We start from the raw sequence: 25,801 nt of genomic DNA, 5'->3' as shown, positions 1-25,801 counted from the left end.
TTTTTTTGTTGTAAATTTGTTTAAGTTCCTTGTAGACTGGATATTAGACCTTTGTCAGATGGATACATTGCATTTTTTTTTTCCATTCTGACAAGTTTCTTTTGCTGTGCAGAAGTTCTTTAGTTTATTTAGATCCCATTTGTCAAGTTTTGTTTTTGTTGCAATTGCTTTTGACGTTTTCATTATGAAATTTTTGTCCATGCCTATGTCCTGAAAGTTATTGCCTAGATCTTTTTCTAGGGTTTTTATAGTTTTGTGTTTTACATTTAAGTCTTTACTCCATGTTGAGTTAATTTTTGTATAAGATGTAAAGAAGGGGTCCAGTTTCAATTTTCTGCATATGGCTAGCCAGTTCTCCCAGCGCCATTTATTAAATAGGGAGTCCTTTCCCCATTGCTTATTTTTGTCAGATTTGTTGAAGATCAGATGGTTGTAGGTGTGCAGTCTTATTTCTGAGTTCTCTATTCTGTTCCACTGGTCTATGTGTCTGTTTTTCTACCAGTACCATGGTGTTTTGGTTACTGTAGCTTTGCAGTATAGTTTGAAGTTAGGTAGCATGATGCCTCCACCTTTGTTCTATTTGCTTAAGATTGTCTTGGCTATGCGGGCTCTTTTTTGGTTCTACATGAATTTTAAAATAGTTTTTTCTAATTCTGTGAGGAATGTCAATGGTAATTTAATAGGAATAGCATTGAATCTATATGTTTCTTTTGGCAGTATGGCCCTTTTCATGATATTGATTCTTCCTATCAATGAGTATGGACTGTTTTTCCATTTGTTTGTGTCCTCTCTGATTTCTTTGAGAAGTGGTTTTTATTTCTCCTGGAAGAGGTCCTTCATTTCTCTTGTTAACTGTATTCCTAGGTATTTTATTCTCTTTGTAGCAGTTGTGAATAGAACTTCATTCATGATTTGGCTGTTTGCCTGTTGTTGATGTATAGAAATGATAGCAATTTTTACACATTGATTTTTTATCCTGAGACATTGCTTAAGTTGCTTGTCAGCCTAAGATGCTTTTGGGCTGAGACAATGGGGTTTTCTAAGTATAGGATCATGCCATCTGCAAATAAAGATAATTTGACTATCTCTCTTCCTATTTAAATACATTTTATTTTTTTCTCATACCTGATTTCACTCGCCAGAACTTTCAATACTACATTAAATAGGGGTGGTGAGAGAGGGCATCTTTGCCTTGTGCTGTTTTTCAAGGGGAATGCTTCAGCTTTTTTCCATTCACTATGATACTGGTTGTGGGTTTTTCATATATGGCTCTTAATATTTTGAGGTATTTTTCTTCAATACCTAGTTTATTGAGAGTTTTTAACATGAAGGGATGTTGAATTTCATTGAAGGTCTTTTCTACATCTATTGAGTTGATCATGTGGTTTTCATCTTTAGTTCTGTTTATATGTTGAATTAAATTTTTCAGTTTGTGTATGTTGAACCAACCTTGCATGCTGGGGATGAAACCAAACTTGATCATGGTGGAAAAGCTTTTTACATGCTGCTGGATTCAGTTTGCCAGTATTCTATTGAGGATTTTTGTATTGATGTCCATCAGGGATATTGGCCTGAAGTTTTTTGTTGTTGTTGTTTCTCTGCCAAGTTTTTGCATTACGATGATGCTGGTCTCATAAGTTAGGGTGGAGTCCTTCCTTTTCAATTGTTTGGAATCCTTTCAGTAGAAATAGTACCAGCTCTTCTTTGTAACTCTGGTAGAATTCAGCCATAAATCCTTCTGGTCCTGGACTTTTTCTGGTTGTTAGGCTATTTATTACTGCCTTAATTAATTTCAGAACTCATTATTGGTCTATTCAGAGATTCAATGTCTTCTTGTTTTAGTCTTGGTAGGGTGTATGTGTCCAGGAATTTATCCATTTCTTCTAGATTTTCTAGTTCATGTGCATAGAGGCATTTATAGTATTCTCTTATGGTTGTTTGTATTTCTGGTGGGTTAGTTGTGATATCCCCCTTGTCGATTCTGATTTTGTTTATTTGATTGTTTTCTGTTTTCTCCTTTATAAGTCTAGCTAGTGATCAATTTTATTAATTTTTTCAAAAAATCTCCTGGATTCATTGATTTTTGAAGGTTTTTTTTGTGTCTCTACCTTCTTCAGTTACACTCTGATCTTGGCTATTTCTTGTTTTCTGCTAGCTTTAGGATTTGTTTTCTCTTAGCTCTCTAGTTCTTTTAGTTATGATGTGATGTTGTTAATTTGAGATCTTTCTAGCTTTTGGATGTGGGCATTTAGTGCCATAAATTTCCCTCTTAACACTGCTTTAGGGGGATCACAGAGATCCTGGTATGTTGTCTTTGTGTGCATTAGTTTCAGAGAAGTTCTTGATTTCAGCCTGATTTTCATTATTTACCCAGGAGTCATTCAGGAGCAGGTTGTTCAAATTCCATGTAGTTGTGTGGTTGTGAGTGAATTTTTTAATCTTGAGTTCTAATTTGATTATCCTGTGGTCCGGGAGACTGTTTTTTTATGATTTCAGTTCTTTTGCATTTTCTGAGGAGTGTTTTACTTTTGATTGTGAGATCAATTTTAGAGGAAATGCCATGTGGCAATGTGAAGAATATATATTCTGTTGTTTTTGAATGGAAAATTCTGTAGATATCTATCAGGTCCGCTTGATCCAGAACTCAGTTCAGGTCCTGAATATCTTTGTTAATTTTCTGTCTTTATGATCTGTCTAATATTGTCAGTGGGGTGTTAAAGTCTCCCAATATTATTGTATGGAAGTCTAAGTCTCTTTGTAGGTCTCTAGGAACTTGCTTTATAAACAGGAGTGCTTCTGTATTGGGTGCATATATATTTAGAATAGTTAGCTCTTCCTGTTAAACTGAACACTTCACCGTTATGTAATGCTCTGCTTTGTCTTTTTTTTTTTTTTTTTTTTTTTTTGGTCTAAAGTATATTCTGTCAGAAACTAGGATTAAGATGCCTGCTTTTTTCTGTTTTCCATTTGCTTTGTAAGTTTTCCTCAATCTTTTTATTTTGAGCCTATGTGGGTCTTTACATGTGAGATGGGTCTCTTGAAGAGAGCATACTGATAAGTCTTGGCTCTTTATCCAGCTTGCCATTTTGTCTTTTAATTGGGGCATTTAGCCCATTTACATTTAAGGTTAGTATTGTTATGTGTAATTTTGATCCTGCCATCATGATGCTAGCTGCTTATTGTGCAGACTGGTTTATTTGGCTGCTGCATAGTGTCACTGCTCTGTGAACTTCAGTGTGTTCTTGTAGTTGCTGATAATGGGTTTTGTTTCCATATCCCTTCAGTAGCTCTTGCAAGGCAGGGATGGTGATGGTGAATTCCCTCAGCATTTGCTTATCTTAAAAGAATCTTATTTCTCCTTCTCTTACGAAGCTTAGTTTGACCAGATATGAATTTCTTGGTTAGAAATTCTTTTCTTAAGAATGCTGAATATTGGCTGCCAATCTCTTCTGGCTTGTAGGGTTTCTTCTAAGATGTCCACTGTTAGTCTAATAGGCTTCCCTTTGTAGGTTACCTGGCCTTTCCCTCTGGCTGATCCTACCATTTTTTCTTTTATTTCCACCTTGGAGAATCTGATGATTATGTGTCTTAGGGTTCATCTTCTTGCAGAATATCTTACTGGGATTCTCTGGATTTCCTGAATTTATGTCGGTCTGTCTTGATAGGTTGAGGAAGGTCTCCTGGATGATATCCTTAAGCATGTTTTTCAACTTGGTTCTGGTCTTCCTGTCCTTTTCAGGTGCCCCAATCAGTCACAGTTTCATTTTTTTTTTAAACATAATCCCAAATTTCTCTGAGGTTTTGTTTATTTCTTTTCATTCTTTATTCCCTATTATTGTCTGCCTGTTTTATTTCAGAAAGATAGTCTTCAGGCTCTGAGATTCCTCCACTTGGCCTATTCTGCTATTGATACTCGTGATCACCTTTGATGTTCTTATTTTGTGTTTTTCAATTCCATCAAGTTGGTTATTCTCCTCTCTATTCTGCCTATTCTGGTTATCATCTCCTGTATTGTTTTATCATGATGCTTAGCTTCTTTGCTTTGGATTACAACATGCTCCTTTAGCTCAGTGAAGTTCCTTATTACCCACCTTCTGAAGCCTACTTCTGCCAGTTCTGCCATCTTTGCCTCAGTCTAGTCCTTCGACCTTGCTGGAGATGTGTTACAGTCATTTGGAAGAGAAGAGGCACTCTGGCTTTTTTAGTTTTCAGCATTTTTGCATTGATTCTTTCTCAACTTGGTAGGCTTATCTGCCTTTGATCTTCGAGATTGCTGACCTTTAAATGAGTTTTTGTGTTTTTTGTTTGTTTGTTAATATTATTGTTATTTTCTGTTTGTTTTTTTCTCTTTTAACAATCAGGCCAGTCTTCCGTAGGTCTCCTGTGGTTTGCTGGTTGACTTGTTTTTTCCAGACCATGGTTGCCTTGTTTTTTCCCATACCTGGAGGTATCACCAGTGAAGTCTGTGGAACAGAAAAGATGGCACCCTGCTCCATCCTCTAGGAGCTCCATTTCAGGAGGGTACTGACCTGTTGCTGGCCCAAACACTCCTGTACGAAGTGTATGGAGACCCCTGCTGGGAAGACTCAGCTAGTCATGAGGAACAGGATCAGGGACCCACTTAAAGAAGTAGCCTGGCTGCTTTTTGGTACAGCAGCTGTGCTGTATTATGGGGGACATCTCCTCATTCAGACCAGCTGGACTCTCCAGAGCTTGCAGGCTGGAATGTGATTATTTTTATTGGTGGTAAAATAACTATGAAAATTAGAAAAGCTCACTTTGGATTAAAAATCACATCATTGGTTTGCTTTGTTAACTAGAGTAAATGATTGAATCTCTTTATACCTCAGTAATCTGAGAGGTTAAAAAATGAATTATATTTTTAATATATGCAGAAAACAAGGCAGGATGAGATAAGGCTCAGTTTTTTCAAGACTGATTAAATAAAATTCAGTTTATCATATTTTCTGTTAGAAGAGTATCTTATCATAGGTTTCACTTTCTTTTGAGAGAGAAGCATTCACATGTTAATAAATTCACCTTAGAAATATGAAAAATGTGATGACTCATAAGTTGGTGAGAAATTATGAAAATATGTTATTAGTAGTAGTGTACTATTTGATGTTAAAGCCACATAATTTTATAACTTTGGATTGCCAGTGGCCTAATAAGAAGCATTTATAAACTTGAATCATCCCAGCTGCAAACTCACAGAATTAATATTCTTCTGCCTTTGGCTTTACTCTGTGTTATAAAAGTCTAATATGTCTCACATTCCTAGCTGAGATGCTACTGATTCTTCTTTTTAAGCATCTTCATTTTTCTACCCTCCAGTGCCCATTAATATTATCATAGAAGCATTGTACTGCTGAAGAGATAGTACTATCCATACGCCTGGGTAAAATGTGTCCTTGCCCTGAGCCCTGCATTACTGAGAGTCTGCTTTGGTTTTTCACTGAATGTCTTTCTCCTGATGATGTGATGGAAACAAACTCACTGGAAGTCTACTTATCCAATTCTCAATTTTACACTAGGAGACTGGGACAAAGCTAGAGATTTTATTAAAGGCATAGTTTTTCTTTTTGCATTTTTGTCTTACTTGCTAAACATCAAAAACAACTTACTGCCATTTTAGAGCTGTCCTTTTTAGACTATCTACTTCTTGAAAGGCAGTCCTACATGTGTTAAAAAATAAAATTATTTTATAAGATTCTGCTGCAGTTGTTTGAATAATACATTATAAAGTTACTGACACCAATTTTCTACTTCACAAATAGGCAAGGATAATGTGGTACATTTTTGCTGTGTACTTGTTTGGTTTGTTGGTTTTCCAATAACTGGATTGGTCTTGTTCATAACTCCCAAGTATGGATTGGTGGTTTAAAAACAAGCAAACAAACAAACAACTAAAAAATTGTCCATTAATGGTATCTTGGTCTCTTCAAGTTAACAGTCTCAGATTTTCCATATTTCTACCATAGTCTTCTCTGCATGGGCACTAGTTACCTAGAATGATTTATGTAACTCCACAGAAGCCAGGGAAAGATGAACTGTAATCAGTTAGGAACTTCATAATTTCTTGCTCTTCTCTGATGCAAAATGGCTGATCAGTTTTGATTCCTTAATTCATGTTTGCCAAGTTATGATTAGTTTTAGCAAACCTTTGAGATGATGACATTGATTACTGAAGCCTGGAAGCGTAGAAATTTGCTTCTGGATTCAAAGGACCTTCACATTATGGCCCCTTTAACCTTAGAATTCCATGCTTCCTTCTCACAGCTTTAGGAATTTCTTGATCAACTTTAACCACTTGCAAATAAGGGGAATTAGTAAAATTACCTTACCTTACTCTTTCTGCACAATAGTGCCCACTTCATGCTACATGGAGCTAAGTAGTGGTAAATCTGCCAGTGATGAAGGGCACTAACCCAGTTGTATTTCCTCCAAACAAACACATACATTTGGAGTACAACATTTTCAAATCCTGGAGATTAGGACCATAGTCCCATCTGACTCTCTCGCGCTACTACAACTTCTGTCCTCCTTCAGTACTTGAAAAGTGATGAAAGAAGCAATTTTGCTTCTTCTGGTTTTAAAGGAACTTTCTATCTCATGTTCTATTCCCTACCAAAATGGTCTTCACTCTGTTCTTTTCTGTAGCAATATAATTGAAAATGGGGTAAGGAGGAAAAAGTTTACTGCTGAGGGAAAAAGCATTAAATGTACCACATTGCCCAGTTGTGAAAACACCCAGTTTGCTTTCCTCCTTGAGGCTATAACATATATTTAATATGAATTAAAATATAATTAATATTTTATAATCATTGTCTAAAAGTTAATGCCACTATCTGGGTCATCTGTGGGTCTGCTTCTGTGGAATATTTTTTCTCCTAATTATGTATCAAATTTCCCATTTTTCCATACTTCTCACTTTCTACTTTTTTTCCTGGAAATGGGTATAAAATGAAAGTATAAAGGAAACTAATATATGACTTCTAAAAATAGGCATTCCGGAACTCCTAAGCCTTCTCTTCTATGTGGCAGCTACAATGCAGAGCTAAACCTTCAGATTTTACCATTTAGGAGCTGCCTTCATTAGATTACTTTTACCCATTGATAGCACAAATCCCGTTCTCTCACATTATAGTTGCTGGGACTGATCTTTTTAATCTTGTAAATATTTGAACTGGAATGTTATTGGAGAGCTCTCATAGAACATTGTATCAGGGTCTATGGATGAATCTCTCTGAAAATCATCAAGACTTCATAAATTCTCTCTGATTTCCAGCCACTGCTACTTTTTCAGCCAAATTCAGGGAAGGGGGAAATTTAGACTGAATAATTTTATTTTATTTTTGAAGCTTTTTGTACTCTAATCTCTCTGGCTATTTCAAATTTTTACTACAATTTCTGCATACTCCACTACCTATCTGAACTACCTATAAGAAAAATAGTTATTTTCCTCAGCTATGAAAGTAGCTGCTACTCTGTGTTCACCTATGAAGATGTGTTCCTCTCTGGAATTCAGAACCTTGGGCTACCTTGAAGCCACTACTCTTCTGATTTAAAAGGATAATACTTATTTCATTCATTTTTATTTCTTTTTGCTACCATGAGAACACAGGCCTTACCATCACTCTAGATCTTAACAAGAAACAGAATCACTTAAGAATATTTTAAAGTGCAATGTATGTAAAATTATTTTTATTTCTATTTAATTTTAAATCTGCATTTCACAGAGCTGCTGTATTATAAAAGTCTGCGTGTGTGTGTTTGTTTATGTGTATGTTTTTACTTGTCACAGGTGAATGAAAAACTTTACACTTATCTTAAAATTGAGTTGGTATAAGTAATTATATCTAAATGGAAGATTTAGTTTTAACACCCCGTTTGATTTGCCCCATGCATTCAATGACGATATTAACATACAACTTTTCAAAGGAAAATGATAGACATGAACATGATTGAATATGATATTCAAAAGGTTAACAGGGAAGAAACTTGCAGCTTAGAATTTTAGCAAATTGTTTCAAAAAATAAACGTAAAATAAGACATACATATACACATATATATCTGTATCTGATAAACATACATATTTATATGAGAGATCTATACGTGAAAAAAATCAGACAATACATTTAGGAAAAAATGAATAATACATAAAAGATAAATATTTTGGTAAATCTAAATGGATTAACTGCTTAAAACAATAAGAGTGACATCTGATAGAACTTAAAGCACACGAGAGCAAGATAGTATAAGTTCAGAGAAAGAGAAAGGTAATGATCTAAGGTCTTGCAATTTTCAGATTAAGATATAAATATTTTTATTAGACTTTGATAAGACAACAGTATACAATCTATTGTGGTAACTACAAAAATACTGCTAAAAGAAGAGGTAACTATAAAAGGACTAGTATGGAAATGAAAAATATATATTTTTATTTCAAGATTTATTTTTGATACTTGGAGTACATGTGCAGATTTGTTACATGGGAATATTGTGTGTTGCTGAGGTTTGGAGTATGGATCCTGTCATCCAGGTAATGAGCACAGTACCTGATAGGTAGTTTTTCTAACCCACTTCCCCACCTCCCACTACTCTAGTAGTCCACAGTGTCTATTGTCCCCATATTTATGTCAATATGTGCTCAGTGTTTAGCTCCCACTTATAAGTGACATCATGTGGTATTTGATTTACTGTTCCTGTGTTAATTTGCTTAAGATCATGGCCTCCAGCTCCATCCATGTTCTTGCAAAGGACATGATTTTATGCCTTTTTATGGCTGCATAGTATTCCATGGTGTATATGTACCACATTTTCCTTATCCAATCTACCATTGATGGGCAGCTGGGTTGATTCCATGTTTGTGCTACAGTGAACATGCAAATGCATGTGTCTTTTGGGTAGTTATTTATTCTCTTTTAGATATATATTCAGTAATGGGATTGCTGGGTTGAGTGATAATTCTGTTTTAAGTACTCTGATAAATCTCCAAACTGCTTTCCACAGTGACTGAACTAATTTACATGCCCATCAAAAATGTATAAGCATTTCCTTTTATCTGCAGCCTCTCCAACATCTGTTATTTTTTGTCTTTTTAATAATAGATATGCTGACGGTTTGAGATGGTACCTTATTGTGGTTTTGAATTGCATTTCTCTTATGATTAGTGAAGCTGAGCATTTTTTCTTATGTTTGTTGGACACTTATATATCCCATTTTAAGAAGTGTCTTCATGTCCTCTGTCCATTTTTTAATGGGGTTGTTTTTCACATGTGGATTTGTTAAAGTTTCCTACAGATTCTAGATTTTAGGCCTTTTTCAGATACATAGTTTTCAAATATCTGTAGGTCGTTTGTTCTGTTGACAGTTTCTTTTGATGTGCAGAAGCTGTTTGGTTTAAGTCTCTATTTATTTCTTATTTATTTATGTATTTATTTATTTACTTATTTATTTTTTTGCAATTGCTTTTGGGGACTTAGGCAAAGATTCTTTACCAAGGCCAATGTTGAAGAGTATTTTCTAGGTTGTCTTCCAGGATTTGTATACTTTGAGGTCTAACATTTAAATCTTTAATTCATTTAATTTTTTATATGATGAAAGGTAGGGGTCAAGCTTCAGTCTTCTGCATATGGCTAGTCAGTTATTCCAGCACTGTTTATTGAATACGGAGTCCTTCCACCATTGCTTGTCTTTGTTGGCCTCATCAAAGATCAGATTGTTGTAGGTGTGTGGCTTTATGACTGAGTTTTCTATTCTGTTCCATTGGTCTATCTTTCTCTTCTGGTACCATGCTGATTTAGTAACTGTGGCCTTATAGTATAGTTTGATGTTGAGTAGTGTGATGCCTCCAGCTTTGTTCTTTTTGCTTAGGATTGCTTTGGCTATCCAGCCTCATTTTTTATTCCATATGAATTTTAGAATAACTTTTTCTAATTCTGTGAAGAATGACATCACTAGTTTGATGGGAATAGCGTTGAATCTGTAAATTGCCTTGGGCATTATGGCCATTTTATAATATTGATTTTTCCTATCCATTAGCATAGAATGATTTTGCATTTATTTGTATCATATCTGATTTCTTTCAGCAGCATTTTGTAGTTTTCTTTGTAGAGATCTTTTTCTTCTTCCTTTGTTATCTGTATTCTTAGATATTTCATTTTCTTTGAGACTATTGTAAGTTAAATTGTGATACTGATTGCACTTTCAGTGTGAATATTGTTGGTGTATAGAAATGCTACTGATTTTTGTACATTTATTTTGTATTCTGAAACTTTACTAAAGTAATTTATCTATTCTAGGAGCCCTTTCACAGAGTCTTTAGTATTTCCTAGCAGCGACAAGAGATAGTTTGACTTCTTCTTTTCCTATTTCGATGCCTTTTAATTTTTTCTCTTGCCTGATTGCTCTATCAAGGACTTCCAGTACTATATTGAATAGAAGTGAATTGAGTGGACATCCTTGTCTTGTTCCAGTTTTCAAGAGAACTGGTTTGAGCTTTTGCCAGTTCAGTATGACATTGGCTGTCATAGAATGCTCTTATTATTTTTAGGTATACTCCTTCGATGCCTACTCTTTGGAGGGTTTTTATCTAAAAGATATGTTAAATTGTATCAGAAATGTTTTCTGCATTTATTGGGATGATAGTATGATTTTTGCTTTTGATCCTGTTTATGTAGTGAATCACATTTATTGATTTGCATATGTTGAAACAGCCTTGCATCCCAGGAATACAGCCAACTTGCTTACTTGATTGTGTTGTATTAACTTCTTGATGTGCTACTGGATTTATTTTGCCTGTATTTTGCTGCAGATTTTTGTGTCTAGGTTCATGAGAATTATTGGTCTGAAATTGTCTTTTTTCATTGTGTCTTTGCCAGATTTTGGTATCAGACTGATGCTAACTTCATAGGATGAATTAGGAAGAGGCCCTTCTTCCTCAACTTGTTTTTTTGAAATGTTTAATATAATTGGTATCAGTTCTTCCTTGTAAGTCTAGTAGAATGCAGCACTGTGAATCCATCTGGTCCAGGGCTTTTTTTGGTTGGTTTATGGGTTCTTTATCACTGAGTCAATTTTAGAAGTTGATATTAGTCTATTCAGGATTTCATTCTCTTCCTGATTCAATTTTGGGAGATTTTGTGCTTCCACAAATTTATCCTTTTCTTCTAAATATCCTAGATTATGTGCATAACATTGTTCACAGCAGTCACGGAGATTCTTTTGTATTTCTGTTGGATCAATTGTAATATTACCTTTGTTGATTCTGATTGTGCTTATTTAGATATTTGGATCTTTCTTTTTCTTTGCTAATCTAGCTATGGGCCTATTCAACCTTATTTACTTTTGTCAAAGAACAAACTCTTGGTTTTATTGATCTTTTGTACAGATTTTTGCATAGCGCATAGCGATATCACTAAGTTCTTCTCTAATTTTATTTCTTCTACTAGCTTTGAGGTTGGTTTGCTCTTTTTTCTACTTCCTTTAGGTGTAAAGTTACACTGTTAATTTAAGACCTTTATAAATTCTTAATGAAGTCATTTAGGCTGGTCTACAAACTTTCCTCTTAACACTGCTTTGGCTGTATCCAAGAAATTTTAGTAAATTTCCTCTCTCCTTCATTAATTTCAAAGTATTTTTAAACTCCTGCCTTAATTTTGATGTTCATCCAGGAGTTACTCAGGAGTCAGTTGTCTAACTTCCATGTATTTGTGTAGTTTTTAGATAGCTTGGTATTGATTTTATTTATTTATTTTTGAGATGGAGTCTTGCCCTGTCACCAGGCTGGAGTGCAGTGGCACGATCTCGGCTCACCACAACCCCCGCCTCCCAGGTTCAAGTGATTCTCTGGCCTCAGTTTCCTGAATAGCTGGGATTATAGGCATGTGCCACCATGCCCAGCTAGTTTTTGTATTTTTAGTAGAGATGGGATTTCACCATGTTGGCCAGGATGGTCTTGATCTCTTGACCTAGTGATCCACCCATCTCAGCCTCCCAAAGCACTGGGATTACAGGCATGAGCCACCATGCCTGGCCTGGCATTGATTTCTTTTCTTATTGCACTGTGGTTCAAGATTGTGCTTGGTATGATATGATTTCATTTTTTCGAATTTATTGAGGCTTGATTTATGACTATTTTATCTTAGAATATGCTCCACATGCAGTTGAGAACAATGTATATTCTGTAATTGCTGGGTGGAATTTTCTGTAGATGTCTGTTAGATCCAATTGGTCAAGTCCTAAACTTAAGATAAATATACAAGAAAGAGAATAAATAAAATATATTAAAATGGTTTATATAAACCTGAAAATATCAGAAATTACATTAAATAAAATATAAATTTATGGTTCAATTAACAGAAACTAATTATCAGACTTAAGAGAATCAATTTTATTTTATTAAGATAAATATATAATATAAAATAATAACATTTAAAAGTAAAAACAGAAAATCCAATACCTTGCAAATACTACCTGCTATAGTCTGAATGTTGGTGTGCTTCCAAAATTCATATACAGGGACCTAATTCCCAATGTGATATTGTTAAGAGGTGGTGTCTTTGGGAATTGAAGTCATAAGAGCTCCACTCTCATGAAGCTGATTAGTGACCTTATAAAAGAGACTTAAACTTGTTCCATCCCCTCTTCTATCACATAAGAGTACAGCAAAAGATGCTATCTGTGAAGCAGAGGGCAAGCCTTCACCAGACACCAAAGCTGCTGGCACTTTAATCTTGGACTTTTCACCCTCCAACTGTAAGAAATAAATTTCTGTTTTTTTTATAAACTACCCGGTCTTAAGATATTTAATTATAGCTTCCTGAACAAACTAAGACATTAACCAAAGGAAATTGATAGAGTGGTATATCAGATACAGTTGAATTTAAATAAAAGAGTAAAGATAGAGGGAAATTTCATTATGATAAACTGTTTAATCAAGAAAGTAAAAACAGTTTTAAATCTGTATTCGTATAATATCATACTATCACGACAGATAAAGTTTGACAAAAAATAGATAAATATAAAAACCTACAATTATAGTGGGAGACTTAACATACCTTTTTCAGTAGCTGGTATGGCAATTATACCAAAAATGTGTGGGAATATAAATATTTGAACACATTGAATAAAAATCAATACAATTTTTATCTATAGTAGCCTACTTCAACAATTGCAGAAAACACACCTTTTTTATGTGCTCATGAAACATTAATAAAACATTACCATATGTTATTCCAGTAAGCAAATGTTGACATAGTTCAAAGATTTAAATCTTTCATAATTATTCTAATTACAGAACAATGGAAGATAGAAAGGCATAACTAAATATAACTTAAGAACTACCATATGTTTAAGAATGTAAATGCTTTCTTCTAAATAGTCCGTAGCTCAAGGAAAAAGTCATAATGGTAATTAGAAAATATTTTCTACTAAATAGTACAAAAATATATAATATATTCAAATTATGGGGTGCAACTAAAGTTATGTTAGATTGAAATGAATGTATTAAAAACAAGAAAGCCATGAAATAGATTATGTAGGAATCCATCTCAAAATAGTAGAAAAAAGAGATCAAATTTAACTCAACAAAAGAATTGAGAATAAACAAAAGGAAAAATGCAACAAATTTATAAAAAGAAATGCTTAAGAAAAGTTATTTTTTTTAATAGACAGGGAAAAATTGATGAGTTTCTAGGAATGAAGAGAGAGGGAGAGAGAGACTAAGACAAAGACTGGAGATGAAATAGACAATATCAATAAGGAATAAGGGATATGACTATGGATTTTAGAGATATTTTAAAAAATCAAAAAGGAATCTTGCAAAAAAACTAATGCCAACAAATTTTAAAATTAAAAAGTAAAAACTCGTATAAGAATAAAGACATAACAATAAAAATGTCAGAAGAAAAAAGGGACATTCTGATTTGAACTGTTACATATTAATGTAACAGAATCTTGACCTGAAAATGAAGCCACAAAGATAAATTAAGGTTAAGGTATTAGAGTAGGTAACAATTTCAAATAGAAGAAATAAACAATGGCCAACCCACATGAACTATTTCAGAGAAGACATTCAGTATTCCTCACAATACAGTCTTTCTAAGGACAGTATTTCCTTGATAAAAAAAATCTGAAGACATCATTTAAAAATTATTTTATTATCACAAGCATAGTTACAAAATCCAAACAAAATGTAAATTAAATATACTGACAAATAAAATGCACAACACACAAAAATTGCCTTATTCAAGAAATGCTAGGCAAATGCTATTCTATAGATAGCATAATATTACAGCAAACATTACTCTGCATGATGAAATTATGAAATCATTTCCTCTAAGATTAGGAATGAACATGAAAGCCTATTGTCATCATTTTTACTTGATATTGTATTGGCGGTGCTAGCCAGTGGAATAATAAGAAAAACACAACAAAGGTATTAATAAAGATTAAAATGCCATAATTAATAGTTCAGATGATTCTATATATAGCTGATCCAAACGTCCTATAAAATCATTAGGTCTAAAAAATGAGTTTTACAATATTTCAAGATATAAGATCAATAAAATCTTGATTGCATTTCTAGGTTCTAACCAAACAAGAATACACACATTCACACATACACACACACACACACACACACACACACACATCCATTTGGAGCAGCATTAAAAGATCAAATGCCTAGAAATATATAAATAAGGATAAGATGTGAAAGACTTCTGAAAATATAAAATATTGAGGACATTTATTTTAAAGAATTAAACCCATAGGGAAATATGCCACATCTATAGATTGAAAGACTTAGCATTGGAGAGATAACAGTTCTTTAATATTGGTCTATAGAATCAAGGAACACCCGAGCAAATGTGTGCATAACTTTTATTAAAATTGGCAAACATCTAAATTATTAGAAACCCAAAGGCCAAGAATAGTATATCTTTGAAAGGAAAGGGAAAAAAGGTATAAAGTTATTCTACTGAATATCAACACTTAATATAAAAGAAAAGTTATTATGACAGTGTAGTATTCATACAAGGTTAAAAAAATAATAGAACCATCAGATGGAATGAAAAAAAAAATAGAACCATCAGATGGAATGGTGAGCCTGAAATGCCTCACGTGAACATTTCATTCATGCAAAGATGATGCAGCAGAGCAGTAGAGAATAAACTATTTTATAAATGTTGTTTTGTCAGTTGGGTTGCCATATAGAAAATTATCTGTAGCAGGCCCAAATTGGACACAACCTAAATGGTTAATTAAAGTAGAATATGAGCTTGAATTGCCACGTATTTAAAAAACTGTATATGAGAATGAACTAAACGAATATGCACTACTTGAATGGTCTCACAAACATAATGTTGGGTGAAATAAGCCATAACAAAATAGTGAATGCTAAATGGTTATATTTATGTAGAGACCCAGAATAAGCAAAACTAACCATAAAATTTTTAAGTGAAGATGCAGATGTTGAAAGGGAGGCAGAGAGGCAGAGGCTTCCAGTTTGATAGCAGTATTTCATTTTTTGACTTGGGTGGCAGTCACAGGAGTGTATTAACTTGGGAAAAATTTGTTGGGTTGTACACTTAGAATTTGTGCATTTTTCAAAATATAGTTTCTATGAGTAATTTAACATTTATAGCTCTGGATACTAAGTTTTGTTGTTTTATGACTATACATCTAAAAAGTTTTAGGTTTTCTATATTCCACAAAAAAGAGGCACTATTAGACATGATACCACAAGTATTATTAAATAGGGTGTGAGTATATTTGCATGAATAAAATGAATTAAGCATATATAAGAAAAATGTATTTTTCAACAACTCAAAGCAAATATGAATCTAACCACTATAACTCTTTCCATGGGATATAGATTAATGCTGAAATATTAGTTTGTGCTTAAAATGTATTTATGATGAATAAGAAGTAAATATAGTTGGGAATCACATCTCTGTTAATCAAAGTATAACTTTGTGATCTTAACCAAGTTTCTTGAGCTTTTGCCTTAATATCCTCATTAGAAAATCAATATATTTTCTATCTCATAGTATAATTTTAAAAATTAAATGCAAGAACTGTGGAAAGTAACTAGTGCTTAATAAGTACTTGATAATTAATAACTAACATATATAATAATATTATCAATACTATCCAAGGTTAACTTGCTAATTAATCCCTTGCTGAACATTTTGTTAAACCTCAAATTTTCATAGCATTAAATTATGTGGTGATGAAGAATGAGTTTTTCTGGTCATTTAAAAAAATTTAGGCCGGGCGCGGTGACTCACGCCTGTAATCCCAGCACTTTGGGAGAGCGAGGTGGGCAGATCAGGAGGTCAGGAGATCAAGACCATCCTGGCTAACAAGGTGAAACCCCGTCTCTACTAAAAATACAAAAACAAAATCAGCTGGGCGTGGTGGCGGGCGCCTGTAGTCCCAGCTTCTCAGGAGGCTGAGGCAGGAAAATGGCATGAACCCAGGAGGCGGAGCTTGCAGTGAGCCGAGATCAGGCCACTGCACTCCAGCCTGGGCAACAGAGCGAGACTCCGTCTCAAAAAATAAATAAATAAATAAAATTAAAGCTTCTACATAAAAAAAAAACATATAAAATGATTTTATGAAAGTTTTTTTTTTAAATGGGAATTTGCTACTTGGTATCATAAAGCAAAAATATTTTATTTTAGTTACACATAGTTAGAAGCAACTTAAATGTTAAAAATATCTTCCATCTCGGTAATCTCCAGTTGCCAAAACACTTGATCCAAATTGTGTTTGGTAGTATGTCTACCACATGGTCAACACAGGTTTTAAAACTTTATCTTATATTACAAACTCTGCCTTAAAGAAATTTCTGTGATCTTTAGACATTGGCTTAATATTCTTGAAGTTCAGTGAATTCATCTACAGAGTAGGGTGAGAATAACTGTTTCATGTAAATGTTGAGATGATTTCATTAAGCAAGATTTGAGTTATAATTAGTAAAGCTTGACATAAATGGAAATTTTCTGAACGTTGTTAAGGAGCTTTCCCATTAGGTTTGCCTAAAGTATTTATTAACACCCCCGCCTTTCTATCTCTTATCATCAGCAAATATTTTTAGGAGCCTGTTTCCTTTATATTCATTGGTACCATTCTAAACGACCATTACTTCTTTACAGGACTAAAGAAATCTTTATTTTGCCACTTCCAATTCTTTTTTCACAACACCACACAGATCCTTTATTATAAATTTAAATAAGAAAAGATGACTTCCTTATACAAAACCAAAAAAAAATTATTCATATTGCTCTTGGTATAAAATCCAAACTACTAACTCTAACTCAAAAACAAAACAGACACACACACACACACACACACACACACACTCACAAACAATGCCCACTTGCCTTTTCCAAGTCATTCAAGCATATTCCTTCCTCCAGGACTTTGTGCTGGTAATGTGCTGGTTATTTAAAAATTAATTCAGTTCTCAGCTTAAATATTATGTCTTCTAAAGAGGATATACTTATTAACTGATTTAAAATCACTCTTCCTCAAATCATTATACTTCTGTGACTTTGACATTTTCATGATAAATTTTATTTTTTATATAAAATATATAAAGGTAAATATATTTTTAAGATTTAAAATAAGACAACAATTATCTGTTCATTTAATATTTTCATATATATATAATCTTTTGAATCAAAGTTTTATGAGGGTAGGGACCTTCTTTGTCACTTTGAGTGCTTTGTTTCCTCCTGGGGATTAGTACAGACTCAGTGTTTGTTGAATAAATATCATCCAGTTTAGCTAGTGATGAAACTAGCTAAAGAGAACACCTAAACCAGATGGAATCCACGATCAAAGGAGCTTGAATATTTTGATGATGCATAATTCTCTAGTCCAAGCAGGAATGCTTTCTCAATTCATTATTAAATTTCTAATTTTGAATATTTAAACACAGAAAGATACAAGTTAGTGTAAGATTTTATTAGTGCAAGAGTTTGTATATGCAAGTACCAATATATTTATAATATTTGTCTTTAAGAAATTTATACACATGGTTAGAATATAAAATATACATATTCAACATTACTTAACCAATGTCAAAAACAAAAATGATGTAAAATATAAATATAAAATATATGATACAATTATTATGAAGTACAATTACTGTTAGAAAGGTCTAGGCTAGAGTTATCACTTAAAATTCATGAAGAAATTAGTAAGTAATAATCACAGTAACAGATTAATAAGATTTAGGTAACTAAAGGTTATTCAGAAATACACAATTTTTTTTCCAGAGGAATAAAACTTTGTTTTTTATTAAATCAGGGGACTTCTTATGCAATTTTCTTTCTTTTAGAGAAGGCTTTGTAAAAAATGTAGCAATTCAAAGCGAAACATAAAGTTTCTTTCAAGAAGGTAATCCATTATTAAACTAGGCCACTGGCATCATTGTCATTCTAAGCTGTGTAGGAAACAAATGTTGCCAGCTGCACAAGCCCTCAAATGGCAACACCAAACTATTCATATTGAGAATGACTTTTCAGCGCACATAAAGTATAGTGCCAAAAGTATTTTTCACAAGTTAAAGAATATTGAATTGGACTTGGCATCTGAAATTCCTGACAAGGCAGCATTTTACAATGTGAGCACTATAGCACCAGGCCATTTGATTGGCAGCATGTTTTGCTTCCATCACTAAACATCAAAAACTTAACCATATTGACAGTTGGATGGCCATTGGACTTCTAAGTGAGTTGTCATGTGAGACAGATTAGCTTCAAAAGACTTGACTTACAGCATTGACTTTAATTTTTTATTCATCAAATTCACATGGAAAATGCTTTTCTACAGTTACCAAAGGCTATGTTCAAAGCTGGCATAACATTGCTCTTCTTCACTTTTTTATTGCCTCTTATGTGTGTAAGCTATATGAAAGGTAGCTATTATACAAAATGCCTAGCATAAAATATATTCCCAATAAAGACAACTATTTTATTAATATTAGCAACACTATGGCTGCCATCAGTATGCTTTTACAGTACTGTATATGGTTAGCTCCTTAACATCAGTACTGTTTGATGATGCACTATCAGGGCCCCCAGGGAAAGATAAGTCATGCTAAGAAATTAATACAAAAAATATTAAATGCTTGTTACAAAGGTATTAGAAAAGTAGAAGGAGAAAAAGGGAGATATTCAACTAAGATATAATTTCAAGATGTTTATCCCATCCAAGATGGCTAGAAAAAACAGAGGAAGGAAGACGGTGTTTCCAGAATTCAAGGTACATGTGACACTGACCCTGCTGGAAACTGCCAGCATCAGAACCTCCAAAGGCTTCTGAGGCCTGCAACTGCTCTCTTTTCCAGCCTTCAGAGCTACTGAAAGCCACTGTAGCCAGCAGCTTCTGGCAATCACCCCTTGAGAGTGCTTCTGGAACACCAAAGGCACTGAAGTCATTCTCTCCTCTCAAAATCCTATCAGTGATTTTAAAGGCTTCATTCTGAGTGAAGTAAACAAATTCTAAAAAGTCACATTATGTACAATTCCATTAAGATACCATTCTTGAAATGACAAAATGATAGATATGACAAATATATTCATTGTTGAGGGAGTTGGGGACGGTGGAGGAAGGAGTGAATGAGGAGTGACTATACACAGATAAAATGAGGGTGATCTTGGTGGTGATGAAATTGTATTTTATTTTCATCCTGTGATTGTTGCATAAATCTACATATGTGATAACATGAAATGGAGCTATATACACATTTTATAAACGTCAAATCTCTGGTTTTGATATTGTACCAGAATTATGTAAAGTGAGATAATTGGAAAAAAATGAGTAAAGACTACACTGGGCTTCTCTGTGCTATTTTTTGCAAATTACTGTGAAATATAATTATTTTAAAATAAAAGTAATAAACATATAAATACATAAGTGAATAAATTCTCCCACTGCTAACACTAACTAAAATTCAGTTGACAGGAAAGTCATTTGGCAGGAGGGTCTAGAAAATTCAATTTTTAAGTGTTCAGGATTCCAGATTCCTTTAATATAGAGCAGAACAATGGATGATAGGAGTGAAATTGAGTGCATATTAATGAAGAAGAAAAACGGCATAGTACCAAGTATCTCTAATATATACCCATTGGTTAGCAAATTCAACTGTATTTTTAAAAATATTTACAGAACTAACACATATTTAATTGGCTTATCCTGTAATAACCAGCATAACAATGGTGTTGAAGGCTCTAAACAACTAATTGGGGAAAGTAATATCAAATGGCTTACATTCAAAAAACAATATGCTAGTCTTTATGATATTCTTGCCACATATGAGATGATCAATAATATTTGTTAAGTGAATGGTTGAAATGAATACCCTAATTCTAAATAGCATGCTATTGTGATTTTTTTTTCTGTTTAAACTACCAAAAATAGAATTTTACATTTTCAGTACTATGTGGCTGGGTGCTGAATTTTAGGGTTTCATGGAGTAAGAGCCTGGAGTCATACAGCTAAGTAAATAGAGCATCGTCTTAGCTCTGACTTTCTAAACAAGCAAAATATATATTCTTTTGAAAAGAGATAGATCAAAAGTCTATTTCATTATATAGCTCAAAACATCAAATTCAATTTCTTCCTGTTTTGCCTTTTTTTAAAGATATATCCCAAGCCAGCAAAGCCTGGGAATAACTGAACAAGAGCTAATATTCTGTTATTACTCCTTTATTTATTTAACTTGTATTATAACCTGTATTACAACAAATTTGAATCTGAACTACTGGATGCACATCAGGATACATGGGACAAAAATAAAAATATGAGTGGAAATACATCATCTCCAGAGAGCTACCCATGTCTTCTTATAAAAGAAAGGCTACACTTAGTAGATTCTGATGTAATGAGAGACTTCTAATTCACTGGGATTGTGTGTAATAAATAAATAATAAATTTTGTCAAGTGCTTTCTATACATGAATTAATATTACAATGTTTTATTCATCTTTTGGTTATTCATATAGACACTGATAATCAATTGATAACATTGATTGACTTACAAATTAATTGACCTAGCAATCCTACTTCTAGTTATTTATCCTAGACAAATGAAAATTACATGCACACAAAATCCTTTAAATAAGTGTTCTTAGTAGTATTATCCATCATTGCTAAAAATTGTAGGTCTAGATGTCCTTCAGTGGGTGAATGGATAGACTTTGGTACATCTACTGACAAAGACCCTTTCCATTGACGAGAACATTTGTCAGGCTCCTCAGAATCCTCTTTCTGGCAAGGCTCCAATCCTGCTTCCGGTGGCTCTATTTCTTTAATCCAGTTTCAGCAAGAATCTTGCTTGGTCAGTTTAGCAAAAATGCCCCACTGTTGGTAACTGACCATCCTTGATGTCTGCTCAAATTCCCAATCCCTCATCCTTGATATCTAATCACTCTCATCTACCTTCAGCAAGAATCTTGTCAAGTTGGTTTAGCTAAAATTCTCCTTACCCCTAATGTTTGCTCTTAGTAATTTTCCATCCACTGACTCCATCCCGGCTCCTTGACTATACATCTCTACTTGTCTTTGCTATATTCAGAGGCAAACCCTATCTTTCTTCCCTACTACAATACCTCATTACAGTTTCTCCTATATATATCATAATGGGCTCCCCTGGAATAAAGTCTTTCCTACTGTTTTTAACACATGTCATGTGTACTATGTTCTTTAACATTGCACAGTGAAATACTATTCAACAACAAAAAGGAAAAAATTATGTACACAGGCAACAACACGGATAAATCTCAACTGTGTTGTGCTAAAATGAAAAAGGCCAATTATAAGTATGATTCCACTTATAACTAAGTGGAAAAAGGTAAAAACATAGTGTCATAGAGCAGATAAATGGTTGCACTGGATGGGGGAGGAAAAGAGTCTGAATGCAAAGCATTCTTTATGTGTTGGAATTGTTCAGCTCCTTTGAGTGATAGAGGTTATAAGAGTCTATGTATGCATATAAATTCATATAACTGTCCAACAAAAAAGTGTCTTCTTATATTTCATTCGAAATATTTAGTAACCAATATATAAAAAATATATTCTAGTGTTAACCATCTCTGATACTCATTTTTATCACAAAGTGTACTATAATACAGAACTTAGTTTACGTTGTCCTTCTGTTTTCTCTGGAATCAAGATCAAAGTTGTGAAATAAGTTAACTTGTCTTTATGAGTGTCCTTTCCAATTTTACTTATTTTCTCCTTCTGCACGATTTGCCTTACTATAAATTGATTATTTCTCTCTTTTCCTCTAAAAATCAATCATGTTCTCTCTTAATAAATCACCTGACAGTGTGAATTAACAAATATTGATTGTATATCCATTGTTTACAGGAAGGCTTAAATGAGTGAATAAAATAGTAAGCTTCATCCTTAGGATTTGCATTTTAATGAAAATGAAAGTCAAAGCACTGAGCCAAAACCAAAAGAGTAAGCATCTAATTTATAACTTGAGATATCAATGAGTTCATCTTGGGTCATTTTTTGGGAGATAAGAGGACTTACTGAAAGTCATCACAAATGTTTATATGACCCTTTACTTTCCCTTCCCATAATGGGAGAGTCACATATTCAAAATTCTTTGAAAATCTTGTTTCTTCCTCTTTAGAAAAATGACTAAAGGCAACTAAAAGTTTCCCTAGTATAGATAATTTTACCTGATCTCCATAATACAAGAAAAATTATGTGTTTAATATTTAAGTTGACATAATGGCAAAAAAAAAGAAAAATGGCAATTTAGTCCACAACGATGATGGTGGTGATTTTGCAAATTAAACCTAGATTTATTTGATGAAATATCTAACCAGTTCAATGATAGCACTGAGCTGCTTCTTCAATACAGAAATTTCTACCTGAAAATGTTTATTTGAATGTTCAATCTGCTGAAATGTTTCCTTGTTTTGGCTTACAGCTACTGCTGCTCTTTTCTTTGATTACTTCCAATATTGCAAAAATATGTTTTGGGGGACATTCCTTTAAAAAAAAAAAAAAGATTGCTTGCTTGCATTGTGGGAAATCAGTGGAATCATAGATCCCCAGTGCATACCATCATTATGAGATGAAGACTTTTATTAGATATATTTTAGGGTCAGATTTTTGGGACCACATAATTGTACTGTGGGCAGTATTCTAGTATTTTTTGGAAATAAATAAGTATAATGCGGTTCAGAGCAGCCAATGAATGCTCAGATTGGAGATTTTCCTAAATACTAATTATTTCTTACATGTTTGCAAAAAATATCATTTCACAAATTGTAATGGAAATCCTATGCTAGCTGAAAGAGTAGCAGAAACACTTAATTTGATATTTTCACCAAGATAGAGATTTCTCCAGAAGTGAGTGAGAAGAGTCATTTTTCTCTATGTGCCCAAAAAAGATACTTAGGACCAAATGAGTACAGTGAATATCTTTGAAATATATTTTCACAATATTAGTGTTTCACAATAGATGATAAAATAATAGCTCTTTGATCAAGCAAAAGATATGACAGGTTATAAAAACCTTAATTTTCAGTGTTGGAATAGTTTTATCCCCCAGAGTGGGAAAAAGCAATAAGAGGTTTTCAATTTTATTCTGTTCTCATCAAAGATTTTGAAGTATGTGGATTCAATCTTTTGTGAATATTGAAATTTCACCATATAAATGCACAGATTATAAATGGAAACTTATGAAGCGATTAAACTTGACATGTAAGTGATCTTATTGCTCCATTCTTAAATTGTTTGTGGGTTTTATAATCAATGTCTAATATTCATGGTTTAGAAAAATAATTTGATTACTTTTTTGTTGCTATCTGGGTAGGACTTTATTATTTTCTTCTATTCTATTTATTAGTAATTTCAAATAATCAAAGATAGCTATTGAAACCTTCTAAAAAGGTGAAACCATGACTCTAGCCAATATATATGTGTCTGGATTTTTAAAGACACATTAATAAGAATGTAATTGCATAAAATAGAAAGTTAAATTAATTTTAGAAGAAGGAGAAATAAAATAAAAGGTTGTTTGGTTTACATTTGGCTATATGAAGAAAATTAACCATAAGACAATCTGTAGAAATGAGGTTAGGGAAGATACTATAACTGAAAATGAAAGATGATACTGAGTAATCGAAAACAACTTTCTTAAATGAATCCCTTTTTCTTAGGGTTATCCAAGTAAAACTGTTTTATCATATTAAGGAAGTAACCAATTGCAGAATACCTCCCTCTCTTTCAAACTAGGTTGCCAATACAATAGTGCATAACTAACTAAAGTATTTGTTGGGAGACTCATTATTAGAAAGCCAATATTCCTAAAAATAAATGAAAAATTTAAATTTAAACCAATCCAGTAATACAATTTCTATTACAACAGCATTAAACAATTCCCTTTCATCAATTCATTTAAATTACAATCAGAGGCCTACACAAACTACATACAATGAAAATCATTTTACAAGTGAATAATGGTTTATTTGAATATAGTGGTATTTTGCTGTGCAAAGTTATCAATCTGAAACATTTCATTAGAGGTATATTTAGTATGAATAAAAATCACAAGAACATAATGCTGACCTAGAAATCTTATTCTGGAAAAAGAAAGTGGGTGAAAAGAATTTTAAATTCTCAATACAATATAATTTGACTTTAATTTCTATATGTGAAATTACCAACAACAATCTGTTTCAGTTACTTGGTCCAAAGAAAAATATAGTAAAACAATATTACAAAAGATAAAAGTAAAATTAAATGGCTTAGAAAATCATAAAGAGCTAATACAGCACATTAGTCAGAAACAAATGTCATCTTTGAGAAAATGTTAAGAGTTGGATAAAAGGAGAGTAGGTAATTTCTCATTAATTTAATTAGGTATTATAAATCAGAGTAAATGGCCATAAATTAATCAGCACAGGTATTATATCTACAGTGATCATAATATATAGTTTCCAGGGTTTTTTTAATTTTTATTTTTTTTGAGACTGAGTCTCACTCTGTCACCCAGGCTGGAGTGCAATGACACGATCTCAGCTCACTGCAACCTCTGCTTCCTGGGTTCAAGCGATTCTCCTCCCTCAGCCTCCCGAGTAGCCGTGATTACAGGTGCCCACCACTAAGCCCAGCTAATTTTTGTATTTTTAGTACAGACAGGGTTTCATGTTAGTCAGGCTGGTCTCAAACTCCCGATCTCAGGTGATCCGCTGGCCTCGGCCTCCCAAAAAGTGCTGGGATTACAGGCATGAGCCACTGTGCCTGGCCTATAGTTTCCATTTTTATTAATTAATTTTTAGATTTGTATTTGACACATAATAATAGTAAACACACAATTTTTAAATTTATAATTGACATATAATTGACGTACAATGTGATGTTTCAATGCATACATATATTGCATAATGATCAAATAAGGATAATTACCATAACCATCTTTAACCACCATCATTTCTTTGTGGTGATAACATTCCAAATCTTCTTTTCTAGTTATCATGAAATACACACTACATTACTTGCTATAATCATCCTACTGTGTAATAGAATGCTAGAACTTATTCTTCCTGTCTAACTGTAACTTTGTATCTGTTGACAAATATTTCCTTGCCCCTTCACCTCTCTTGCCCTCCTCAGCCTCTAGTAACAGCTATTGTACTCTCTAATTATATGAAATCAACTTTTTTAGATTCCACATGAGTGAGATAGATAAGGCAGTGTTTGTCTTTCTATGTGTGGCTTATTTCACTTGATATCATATCCCACCAGATTCATCCAT

General features: G+C 33.2%; 1 long non-coding RNA gene across 1 annotated transcript in view; it reads right to left on the bottom strand.

The window, feature by feature from the left end:
- Positions 1–12,094: 12,094 nt before the first annotated feature.
- LOC124909491 (uncharacterized) overlaps positions 12,095–25,801 on the bottom strand; it is an 84,567-nt gene continuing 70,860 nt past the window's right edge. The window contains exon 2 of the long non-coding RNA XR_007096269.1: positions 12,095–12,243. This is a non-coding gene — a long non-coding RNA (uncharacterized LOC124909491). The remainder of the gene's footprint in view (positions 12,244–25,801) is intronic.

This window comes from Homo sapiens, chromosome 3, assembly GCF_000001405.40.
Source record: "Homo sapiens chromosome 3, GRCh38.p14 Primary Assembly".
In the NCBI taxonomy this organism is placed as follows: Eukaryota; Metazoa; Chordata; class Mammalia; order Primates; family Hominidae; genus Homo; species Homo sapiens.
The sequence above is the reverse complement of the archived record's forward strand: the minus strand, read 5'-3'. Positions and strand labels throughout refer to the sequence as shown.